Source organism: Homo sapiens, chromosome 12 (genome assembly GCF_000001405.40).
Source record: "Homo sapiens chromosome 12, GRCh38.p14 Primary Assembly".
In the NCBI taxonomy this organism is placed as follows: Eukaryota; Metazoa; Chordata; class Mammalia; order Primates; family Hominidae; genus Homo; species Homo sapiens.
In genome coordinates, this window is record NC_000012.12 from 100922546 (window position 1) to 100935672 (window position 13127).

The 13127-nt window shown below is 36.9% G+C and overlaps 1 protein-coding gene across 15 annotated transcripts in view; it reads left to right on the forward strand.

Moving 5' to 3' along the window:
* Positions 1–13127, forward strand: part of ANO4 (anoctamin 4) — a 411381-nt gene that overhangs the window by 205285 nt on the left and 192969 nt on the right. The window lies entirely within an intron of this gene.

Genomic DNA, 13127 nt, shown 5'->3' on the forward strand with positions numbered 1-13127 from the left:
GAAAAAGCTATAACGGAATGATCAATTCTGTATATTGTATTTCATGTAATAATATTTAGTAAACCTTGGAGTATTGTAAATTTTTAGATTTCTTGATTAATCATAATCAAAGAAAAACCTTTAAGAAAACAAAATACAATTCCTCTGCTCAAATGGAAGTAATAAGAGGGAAATGTTAGTGGAGCAAGGTGAAATCAGGAACTTCTTCTCCAAAATGAGTATCTGGAGTCATTGATGATGGACTGCATGCCAGAAGTGAACCCTCATTTTCTAAGCATTTTGAGTAATCAAGGTTTGCTCTTCTTCGAGTATTTTATTTCTGTTTTATAGCTTTCACTCAGAATTTTATCAGAATCAACACATTTACTCAAGTTAAATATTTAGCATTGAGGATGGGTGATGCGGTGTCTCATACTAAGTCATTACCATTGATATTTCATTATCAGAGCTCTAATTCTAGATGATGAAGCTCCTCTTAATATCGAATAATTTATCTCATGTTGGATTTGAGGGATTTTGATGTGAAGAACATTGTATAAACAACCATTGCAATTTTTTCTTACTTCTAGTTTTGGGACATTGCATTTTCTTTTCTTTTTTTATTATTATACTTTAAGTTCTAGGGTACGTGTGAACAACGTACAGGTTTGATACATAGGTATACATGTGCCATGTTGGTTTGCTGCACCCATCAACTCGTCATTTATATTAGATATGTCTCCTAATGCTATCCCTCCCCCAGCCCCCCACCCTACGACAGGCCCTGGTGTGTGATGTTCCCTGCCCTGTGTCCAAATCATCTCATTGTTCATTTCCCACCTATGAGTGAGAACATGCGGTGTTTGGTTTTCTATCCTTGTGATCATTTGCTGAGAGTGATGGTTTCCAGCTTCATCCATGCCCCTGCAAAGAACATGAACTCATCCTTTTTTATGGCTGCATAGTATTCCATGGTGTATATGTGCCACATTTTTTAAATCCAGTCTATCATTGATGGACATTTGGGTTGGTTCCAAGTCTTTGCTATTGTGAATAGTGCCGCAATAAACATACGTGTGCATGTGTCTTTATAGTAGCATGATTTATAATCCTTTGGGTATATGCTCAGTAATGGGATTGCTGGGTCAAATGGTATTTCTAGTTCTACCTCCTTGAGGAATCACTACACTGTCTTCCACAATTGTTGAACTAATTTACACTCCCACCAACAGTGTAAAAGCATTCCTATTTCTTCACATCCTCTCCAGCATCTGTTGTTTCCTGGCTTTTTAATGATCGCCATTCTAACTTGTGTTAGATGGTATCTCATGGTGGTTTTGATTTGCATTTCTCTGATGGCCAGTGATGATGAGCATTTTTTCATGTGTCTGTTGGCTGTATAAATGTCTTCTTTTGAGAAGTGTCTGTTCATATCCTTTGCCCACTTTTTGATGGGGTTGTTTGTTTTTTTTCTTGTAAATTTATCTGAGTTCTTTGTAGATTCTGGATATTAGCCCTTTGTCAGATGGGTAGATTGTGAAAATTTTGTCCCATTCTGTAGGTTGCTTATTCACTCTGATGGTAGTTTCTTTTGCTGTGCAGAAGCTCTTTAGTTTAATTAGATCCCATTTGTCAATTTTGGCGTTTGTTGCCATTGCTTTTGATGTTTTAGTCATGAAGTCCTTGCCCATGCCTAGGGACATTGCATTTTCTTGTTAACTTTCTTATGAATAATTTTATGCTTTTTAGTTATCCCCATTTATCATTATACCGTCCTCTTGACCTTATGAGATAGTTATTACCTCCACCTTACAGATGGAACAACTGAGGGTGGAAGAAATTAAATGACAGGGGAAGATGATAATAATGGAGACCAGACTGCAATGATGGCTGTTTGTTCCTTCATTTAATTCCTTCATGAATGTGCTCAGTACAGGATTTAAACACATTGAGGTGAAGGATCCTGAAACTGAAGATTAGGCTACTTTTAAAAGAAATGTTTTTAGCAGAGAATATAAGGGGATCAGCTATTTATTCCGGTTGAACAATCCCTTTATATTACATTAATGAATAAAAGAGAAAAAATTTCCACAAGAGAATAAAAATCAGATTATTAGACATTGGAGAGAAAATAACTTTTCATGGAAAGTTATAAAATTATGTAATTACTTCACTTGATTTGAAAGATGATAGGTTGTACAGTGCTCAAAGAGTTCAAATTTTTTTTCAATAAATGATAAAAGTTGGCTTCCATGCAAGTGCTAGAGGTGAACTTAAATTTAAGGAGTGGGGGCTAGAATGAACTTGCATCAGAATGAACTAAAGGTTAGTAAGGTACTATTTTTATAGTAATTTTTATTACCAGATCTTAGTAAAGACGTGTGTATCTGATGTTAACTGTTCTGTAGTTTAGAAGGGTGATCTTTCTATGAACAGGTAGAGGAGTATAAATTTATGAGTACTTAACAGAAGAAAAAGGAAATGTTACTTGACTTTAAAATGCAAATCCAGCCCTTTATAAGTTTATGCATTTTCTATTGCTTTGGAACTAATTTATTTTCTTGTTGCAAACAAGTTTTGTGCTAATTAGATTTGAGAAGCTGCCCACACAGGCTGGGTCATTTCTGGAAGGAAAGATTTTGGGCCATTCAGTCTCTATTTAGGTTCCAAATATGATCGAAATTTTTAGCCAGTTCATGGAAATCTCCAAGCATAAAAATAGGTAGCTTGGTACTTTAAGGGACTGTAGCTTAGATTATCGTTTCTGGAAAGCTTTGCGAGACCATCGTTAAGTGTGTAAAGAATATGGAGTTCTGCGACTGGCCCCAGTGTGTGATGTTCCCCTCCCTGTGTCCATATGTTCTCATTGTTCAACTCCCACTTATAAGTGAGAACATGCGGTGTTTGGTTTTCTGTTCTTGTGTTAGTTTGCTGAAAATGATGGTTTCCAGTGTCATCCATGTCCTGTCGGGGGGTGGGGGGCTAGAGGAGGGATAGCATTAGGAGAAATACCTAATGTAGATGACGGGTTGATAGGTGCAGCAAACCACCATGGCACGTGTATACCTATGTAACAAACCTGCACGTTCTGCACATGTACCCCAGAACTTAAAGTATAATTAAAAAAAAAAGAATACAGAATTCTGAACATCAGTATAATTCCTCTCCTTTTTGTTAAGATTAACAAGATGATGGAAAATTTTCACTTTTTTCTTCAAATGTTGTGACTATTTATATATAGTATATATATATATATGTATGCATGTATATATGTGTGTATACATACATATACATACATACATATATATACATACATATATATACACACACACATATATATATATATGAGACCTTCAAGATCAAGCTAGAAGTGCATATGTGCATGCTTACATGTGTGTATTTCAAACATTTCTTGAGTGTCTGGGGTAGGCTGGCCATGATGGTGTTTTCCCAAAGTATCTCTTTTCAATCTTAACCCTAAGTAATAATAGATAAGATTTTCTCCATTTTAAAGGTGAAAAAACTGAATATAGCTCCCCAAGGATATATGGTTACTATGTGATAGAGTCAATATTTAATTGTATGTTCATCCTTGTTCTGCTAAATACTAAATTAAATAAAAATGATTAGGAAAAATGAACTACTTTGCATTTTTAAAGTTGTATTATATTTTCACATCTTGATGCAAGAATTTTGCCACCATGCTTCTACATTGTGAAATACATTTACAGTATTTTATCTTTTAGTGTGCATACCCTAAGTATATCCTCATCTCTTCTAAAGATGTCTCAGAGTGGCTGGCCATACTCAAGTGCTTTTTCAGATCCTCCATATTAGATGTACAGCTTATAAAAAAGAAAAGAGTTATTTTAACCATCCATCCATCTTGCCTGTCATGTGTCAGGTACTGTGCTAGGCATAATACCTTAAGGCAGTGGTGAATGTTTGGTACAAAGTCTAATTCAGGAAAAATGAAAACGTTTTCAGATCACGTCTTGTTTTGGTGTTCAACAGGAAAACAACTTGATTGCTTTTTAGGAACAGGCATTTACATGTGAAAGTATAACAAGGGTGTGTTTGTGTGTGTGTGTGTGTGTGTGTGTGTTTGTTTCTTTTCGTTGATGTTATTTGTCCCTTCCTCTCTATTCTCACCCTTCACTCTCCATTCCAAGATGGTAGTCAGGTACCTTGAACTCCTTTGTTTCAGCAGAGTTTTGTGTTAACTAAAGTTCCTGCCTTTTTTTTCTGAAAGCCTGAGCTTCCAAGACTGATGCTTGTATGGAAGAAGAAATTGCAAGAGAGATGCCCTGTAGAGGGAGCCAGGCTTCTGGTAGGGGGAATGGAAAGGGAGGGAATGGCTATGTTGCATGCCTGGGAGACTGCAGGGGAGCCACCTGAACTGTCAGTCACACAGAGAGTTCCTGGCCTGAGAAAGGAACTTAGGAGTCTCTGGGAAGGGGGCAGTCTCATCTTCCTGTTTCTTTGTTTTATCTCCAGTGCCTTGAACAGAGCATGGAGTGTGGTAGGTGCTTACTAATATTTGTTAGTGATTGAGTGAACGTGTGGAATCACTGGAGACTTGAAAGGTGGGCAGCTCAGTAGTAACCAGTGTGTCTTGGACACCTGACTGCTCTTTCTAAATGTTCTGCTCTTTACAAAACTCCTAGGACCTTTGCACAGTTCTGGATACATGAGGCAGGAAAGTGGGAGTGTCAGCAATAACTGAAATTAAATTGTCCACGAAGCCGGTGGAATGGGAACTTGCAGATAGATTTAGTTTGATGCAATGATAACAACATTACAGTGCAATTCCTACTCTTGAGTTCATCTAGTAAGATTCAAACCCTCCATCCATAGTTTAAGGAGTGGAGTGCCTACTCAAATCTTATGTACAGTAGCACCTATTAAAACAAAAATAAACAAACAAAAAGAAAAACACTGCTTTTTTAATCACCAAAGTTTTCAAATCCGAACATTTTAAGAGGTAAGCATTTTAAAATATTTCCTTCTGAAACTTGATTGAGAATCATGTCTTAAAGCTCTGCAGTCCATGAATCAGGTGTATGTGTGTGTGTATGTATGTGAGCATTTATTACATTAGCTGGCTACTGTGAAGCATGTCATTCAAAGGTTATACTGTACTTTTTCATTCTCACTTTAAATTATTTTCAATGTCCAGCCCTTTTTAGAGACCATTCATCCCCCTACCATTTGTTGCCCACCCCTCTTGTTTTGCTCCTAGTTTTTCCTTTCATGATTCCCAGCATATCTGGATATATACTGTAGGGACACTCTTGAATGGCATCCATACCCTGAAACACATGATTGTGTTGTATTCCATCAGGTTCTGATGAAGGAAAGAGGGCACAAGATAGTGTTTGCAGTGAGATCTGAGGAGTTAAAAGGATTGTGGGATCATTGTTATCCTGCAGTCTGTTTGTGCTTGCACGTGTGTCTACATAATCATATAGCTGTGCCTACATTAGGGGTGGTGTATACTTTTGTGGCTGAGGAGACTGAGTCATTTCTCAGTGACACCGAGTGAGTCACTTTGAATCTAATTCTTTAGCCCTGATTTCCAATTTTATTTTTAACCTGCATGGTCATGCCATTTCAGAGGAGCAGATGGCAGGGTATGGGGTATGGGGGTGAGCGGGGCCGGGGGGGCTGGCATATATTGAGCAGATAATCTTGTCTGGCAATTTTGTGGCTGACCTTTTACCTATGTTATTTTATTTAGTCTTTAACTCTCTTTGCCTTAATTTCCACATCTGTAAAAGGAAAATAGTAATAGTACATCTATGTAAAGCCTTTAACATAGTGCCTGGTACACAGTCAGGGGTGTATAAGTGTTGACTGCCACCTTTGTCTTTATTCCTCAATCATTCATTCTGTCTGGGAAATTGTATTTCCATATTTAGAAGATAAATAAATATTTAGAAAATAAAGAAATTAAAGCTTGAATAAGTTAAATATCCCAATCTAATAGCTAATAAGTGGAAGGGCTGGCATTTGAACTCAGGTCTGTCTGAATCCAGAGCTCATGCTCTTTCCAAAGAAGGTGAAATTGTGGTCAGTAGACTTGGAGGCTCTTTTATGCAGAGCATGAATGACCTCACTTTATGTTATGGAAAGGTCGCCAAGGCTAATGAATGAGCAAAGATTGAATTAGGCACATAGTTCTTCTCTAAATGTCATTCCCAGGGCTGTAAGAAGTGCCATCATCATTATTTGCCTTTTTATAGAAGTAACCAAGGTGTTCACCTTTTTTTTACAATGAAGTAGTAGTAAGAGAAGCTCTTCTTAGCAAATACGCTAAATCAGAAACAAGTTAATGATCTCAACCCCATTGTGGAGTGCTGGGGTTATATACAATACCATCATCTGTGCTGTTTTATAAACATTGCCATTATTGAGCCAGGTGATGACAATGACATCTTTTTTTATTTTAATTTTTAATTTTGGTGGGTACATAGTAGGTGTATATATTTATGGGGTACATGAAATATTTTGATACAGGCATACAATGTTTAGTAATCACATCAGTGTAAATGGGGTATCCACCACCTCAAACATCCATTCTTTCTTTGTGTTACAAACAATCCAATTATACTTTTAGTTTTAAATGTACAATAAGTTATTATTGACTCTAGTTACCCTGTTGTGCTATTAAATACTAGATCTTATTCATTCTATCTAATTATATTTTTGTACCCATTAACCATCCCCACCTCCCTTCCGCTCTACTACTCTTCCCAGCATATGGTAACCACCATTCTACTCTCTATCTCCATTAGTTCAATTGTTTTTAGTTTTTAGTTCCCACAAATAAGAACATGCAAAGTTTGTCTTTCTGTGCCTGGCTCATTTCACTTAACATAATGACCTCCAGTTCCATCCATATTGTTGCAAATGACAGAATCTCATATTTTTATAGCTGAATAGTACTGCATTGTGTATATGTACCACCATTTTCTTTATCTGTTCATCTGTTGATGGACACTTAGGTTCCTTCCAAATCTTGGCTATTGTGAATAGTGCTGCAGTAAACATGAGAGTGCAGATAGCTAGTATACTAATTTCCTTTCTTTGGGGTATATACCCCTAAGCAGAATTGCTGGATCATATGGAAGTTCTATTTTTAATTTTTTCAGGAACCTCCAAACTGTCCTTCATAGTGGTTGTACTGATTTACATTCCCACCAGCAGTGTATGAGGGTTCCCTCTTCTCCACATCCTTGCCAGCAGTTGTTATTGCCTGTCTTTTAGATAAAAGCCATTTTAACTGAGGTGAGCCCTGATTTCCAACTTTATTTTACAATGAAATTATATCTCATTATGAAATCTGAACATTTTACAATGAGATTTCTCATTGTAGTTTTTATTTGCATTTCTCTGATGATCAGTGGTGTTGAGCACCTTTTCATGTGCCTGTTTGCCATTTCTGTGTCTCCTTCTGAGAAATGTCTTATTCAGACATCTTGCCCATTTTTATTTGGATTATTAGATGTTTTTCCTCTAGAGTTGTTTGAGCTCCATATATATTTTGGTTATTAATCCCTTCTCAGATGGATAGTTTGCAAATATTTTCTCCCATTCTGTGGGTTGTCTCTTCACTTTGTTGATTGTTTCCTTTGCTGCGCAGAAGCTTTTTAACTTGATGTGATCCCATTTGTCCATTTTTGCTTTGGTTGCCTGTGCTTGTGAGGTATTACTCAAGAAATCTTTGCCCAGTCCAATGTTCTGGAGAGTTTCTCTAATGTTTCCTTTTAGAAGTTTCTTAGTGTGAGGCCTTAGATTTAAGTCTTTAATCCATTTTGGTTTGATTTTTGTATATGGTGAGAGATAGGGGTCTAGTTTCATTCTTCTGTGTATGGATATCCAGTTTTCCCAGCATCACTTATTGAAGAGACTGTCCTTTCTCCAATGTATGTTCTTGGCACCATTGTCAAAAATGAATTTACTATAGATGTATGGATTTGTTTTTGGGTTCTCTGTTCTGTTCCACTAATCTATGTGTCTGTTTTTATGCCAGTTCCATACAGAAATTAGTTTTAAATGAATATTTTTTTTAAATCTCATGACTTTTTGTTTGTTTGCAAAGGCATATTTTAAATCTCAATAACTTTCTGTGGCAGAAGGAAGGTTCCTGCTGTCATATCTGTAATAACTAGAACCGCAGGTTCTTTAGGGAGATGTCAACACAACCATTTAATTGTTGCCAGAACACACTAGCAGAAGTTTCTAAACTTTTGTAAAAGCAGTAAAATGTATTTTTCCCCAATATATGATCAACATATAACTTCAATATACAAAACAGAAACTGAGTTGTTTGGTATAGGTAGGGGTAGAAGGTGAGCCTTGCCCGCTCAGTTGTCTCTTTGTCTGCTCCATGGCCCCTGAAACTCCTCAAAAGGGCTGTAGGGTTCCAGAGAACAGAGATTGAAAACTGCTGGCCTATTAGAAGGGAGTAAAATCGGCTAAGGAAGCATTATGTCCTTTCTAATTGCTTTATTTATTTATTTTGAGTTTTTAAACTTAAACCTCCTTTTTTCTTATTGGTAAACCAGGCAGCCTTTGCCTTAGGGATGCTGTCAAGATACATTTGAAGAATAATGAGCATCTAGAGAGTCTTGGGCTTGCTCGTGTCATATACATGCTAAATAGTGTTTAGTTCTTAAAATCCCAGCCTAAGGTGTTCAAAGCTGTATTGTGTCTTTGTATTTCCGTGAATTTTTAAGACAATAATGGATCTATTTGTTAAATTTTAGAAAGTTGTCAGAGCTGTCAGACTACAGATGTAAAGTCTAGCTTTATTCAGATAAATGTTGAAATGGCAACAAGATAATTGCTTGGTGGTTAAATGACTTCCATTCTTGAAAGCCAAACATGATTTAAGAACAGTAAAATGCTTCCCACAAAAACAAAAGCCAGCTAGAAATGGTATGGATTTGGGGTCTGAATTGAATGAAAATTCATCTTTGTCACTTACTAGCTGCATGGCCACACTTAGCATTTCTGAACCTGGCTTCTTTATAATAATACTTGTCTCATAGGTTGTTTTGAGAATGAAATGAGAAAATAGACCTGAAAATCATTAACACACAGCAGGCTGTCAGTAAACTGTAATTCCTATCTTTGTCTCCTTTCCCACTTCCTTCATGTTTAATCTCTGTGATTCTAAGAGAGAAGTAGACATTTTCAAGCCATCTTACTAAGGTAATCAGAATAAGAAAAAACTGAAAATTGATGTCATCCTACAATTAGCTTTTATTTATCTTAAAATGCATATTGAGTGTCTCCTACTTGGTAGCCCTTAAGCCGAATTGGAGCTACCTTAGCTCTTCACCTTAAAGGGACCTTAGTCTAAAGACATAGAGATGGACTTATTATAAAACAATCTGGTAAGTGTTAAAATTGAGATATAAACATTTTTTGCATTCTAAAATATTCCCGGAGGTGTTCTTTTTTTTTTTTTTTAAGTGATACTTTGAGGTCAGTATGTAATCCCTTGAGAATTCTGAGTATCAGATGCAATAACTTGGAACTTAGGACAAAAATAGTATAATGAACTGGCGCTCTAGAGAATGAATATAGATACTTGGATTATGCTGCAAAGCCCTCTTCTGTCTTCTTCAATGACCTGTAATTTCACCTTCTTTTCTCTGCATCTGAAATTTATATATCTGAAACTTCTATACTGTAATATCAAGGTGGGGTTATTTTGCTGCATTTGGAAAATAGAGAAGTAAAGAAAAGAGCAATGAATCAAAGTCTTTGATTTTTTTGATTGTATTTCTTACTGTCTTCTAGGCTATTTCTAAAATACACTTGCTGGTTTTTTTTTTTCATTGCCTTTATAGCATTGATTCCCAAACTTTGTTCTCTTGCCTGGAAGTGTGAGGGCTTCCCACTCATGTCATGTCCAGCACTTAACTCTAAATCTTTGTTCAATGAACAAATGGCAGAAAATAATTCATTAATTAGTTCGTCCATTTATTTGAGTCCTTGAAATATATTTGTGATCTCTTATCCATAGGGTATTAACAATAGCTAACATCTCAAATGATTTTCACTGGAGGAATAATTGAAATAATTGCAAATAGTTGATTTGATTAGTAGATTTAGTATTACCAAAGTAAATTCACCTTTTCATCATGTAAAGATCACCATGATCTGCCTGCCTGCTGGTCCTCTCCTGACTTTTCTGCTCTGCCTCCATCCTGGGATGATGTAAACCAAGCCAGCTGTCATAAATCTCTGAGTTTAATGCTTTACTCAGACTCTTTAGCTGATTTTTCGTCTCCCAGGCAATTTAAGGTCCTTGATCCTCGTTGTTCAGTTATAATATGTGAGTCCTTGCTGTTTTGTTCCCAAGTCATTTTTTAGGCTGAGCTTCTAATCTTTGCAATAGGGAATCATTTGAGTATCCCCCTTGCCTTCCCAAATGCATGGTATACACCTACCCTGACCAATCTGTGCTGCCTAATTCTGTTCACACAGCCCTTCCTGGGTCTGAATGAAATGCAGATCTATTACTTGAGTTGCATGGTAGTTTTGCATTTTCTCTCCTTCTTGTCATTCTTTTTTTTTTTGCATTTTTTTAAAATTATATTTTAAGTTCTAGGGTACATGTGTACAACGTGCAGGTTTGATACATAGGTATACATGTGCCATGTTGGTTTGTTGCACCCATCAACTCATCATTTACATTAGGTATTTCTCCTAATGATATCCCTCCCCGAGCCCCCCATCCCACAACAGGCCCCGGTGTGTGATGTTCCCCGTCCTGTGTCCAGGTGATATCATTGTTCAGTTCCCACCTATGAGTGAGAGCATGCGGTGTTTGGCTTTCTGTCCTTGTGATAGTTTGCCAAGAATGATGGTTTCCAGCTTCATCCATGTCCCTGCAAAGGACGTGAACTCATCCTTTTTTATGGCTGCATAGTATTCCGTGGTGTATATGTGCCACATTTTCTTAATCCAGTCTATCATTGATGGACATTTGGGTTGGTTCCAAGTTTTTGCTATTGCAAATAGTGCCACAATAAACATACATGAGCATGTGTCTTTATAGTAGCATGATTTATAATCCTTTAGGTGTATACCCAGTAATGGGATTGCTGGAATGGTATTTCTAATTCTAGATCCTTAAGGAATTGCCACACTGTCTTCCACAATGGTTGAACTAATTTACACTCCCACCAACAATGTAAAAGCATTCCTATTTCTCCACATCCTCTCCAGCATCTGTTGTTTCCTGCCATTCTAACTGGCGTGAGATGGTATCTCATTGTGGTTTTGATTTGCATTTCTCTGATGACCAGTGATGATGAGCATTTTTTCATGTGTCTGTTGGCTGCCTAGATGTCTTCTTTTGAGAAGTGTCTGTTCATATCCTTTGCCCACTTTTTGATGGGGTTGTTTTTTTCTTGTAAATTTGTTTGAATTCTTTCTAGATTCTGGTTATTAGCCCTTTGTCAGATGGGTAGATTGCAAAATTTTTCTCCCATTCTGTAGATTTCCTGTTCACTCTGATGGTAGTTTCTTTTGCCGTGCAGAACCTCTTTAGTTTAATTACATCCCATTTGTCTATTTTGGTTTTTGTTGCCATTGCTTTTGGTGTTTTAATCATGAAGTCCTTGCCCATGCCTTTGTCCTGAATAGTATTGCCTAGGTTTTCTTCTAGGGTTTTTATGGTTTTAGGTCTAACATTTCAATCTTTAATCCATCTTGAATTAATTTTTGTATAAGGTGTAAGGAAGGGATCCAGTTTCAGCTTTCTACATATGACTAGCCAGTTTTCCCAGCACCATTTATTAAATAGGGAATCCTTTCTGCGTTTCTTGTTTTTGTCAGGTTTGTCAAAGATCAGATGGTTGTAGATGTGTGGTGTTATTTCTGAGGACTCTGTTCCGTTCCATTGGTCTATATTTTGGTTTTGGTACCAGTACCATGCTGTTTTGGTACTTGTAGTATAGTTTGAAGTCAGGTAGCATGATGCCTTCAGTTTTGTTTTTTTTTGCTTAGGATTGTCTTGGCAATGTGGGCTCTTTTTTGGTTCCATATGAACTTTAAAGTAGTTTTTTCCAATTCTGTGAAGAAAGTCATTGGCAGCTTGATGGGGATTGCATTAAATCTATAAATTACCTTGGGCAGTATGGCCATTTTCATGATATTGACTCTTCCTATCCATGAGCATGGAATATTCTTCCATTTGTTTGTGTCCTCTTTTACTTCATTGAGCAGTGGTTTGTAGTTCTCCTTGAAGAGGTCCTTCACATCCCTTGTAAGTTGTATTCCTAGGTATTTTATTCTCTTTGTAGCAATTGTGAATGGGAGTTCAGTCACGATTTGGCTCTCTGTTTGTCTGTTAATGGTGTATAGGAATGCTTGTGATTTTTGCACATTGATTTTGTATCCTGAGGCTTTGCTGAAGTTGCTTATCAGCTTAAGGAGATTTTGGGCTGAGATGATGGGGTTTTCTAAATATACAGTCATGTCATCTGCAAACAGGGACAATGTGACTTCCTCATTTCCTAATTGAATATCCTTTATTTCTTTCTCCTGCCTGATTGCCCTGGCCAGAACTTCCAATACAATGTTGAATAGGAGTGGTGAGAGAGGGCATCCTTGTCTTGTGCTGGTTTTCAAAGGAAATGCTTCCAGTTTTTGCCCATTCAGTATGATATTGGCTGTGGGTTTGTCATAAATAGCTCTTATTATTTTGAGATACATTCCATCAATACCTAATTTATTGAGAGTTTTTAGCATGAAGGGCTGTTGAATTTTGTTGAAGGCCTTTTCTGCATTTATTGAGATAATCATGTGTTTTTTGTCGTTGATTCTGTTTATGTGATGGATTAAGTTTATTGTTTTGCATATGTTGAACCAGCCTTGCCTCCCATCCTTCCTGTCATTCTTAATGGACTTCTCAGAGTATTTGACTCTCTTTCTCATTTAATGAACCTAACAGCAATATTCTACCAGGCAGATAATTATCAAACATTTTTCTATTTAGGAGAAGAAGTCTAAGGAAGGTGATGGGATTCATTCACAAATGACCCTGTTTGGATGAACAGCATCTTTGTGATGTTCGTGCCCATGGATAGAAAGGCCTCACTCCCACTCTGACTGGACAGTGAGCT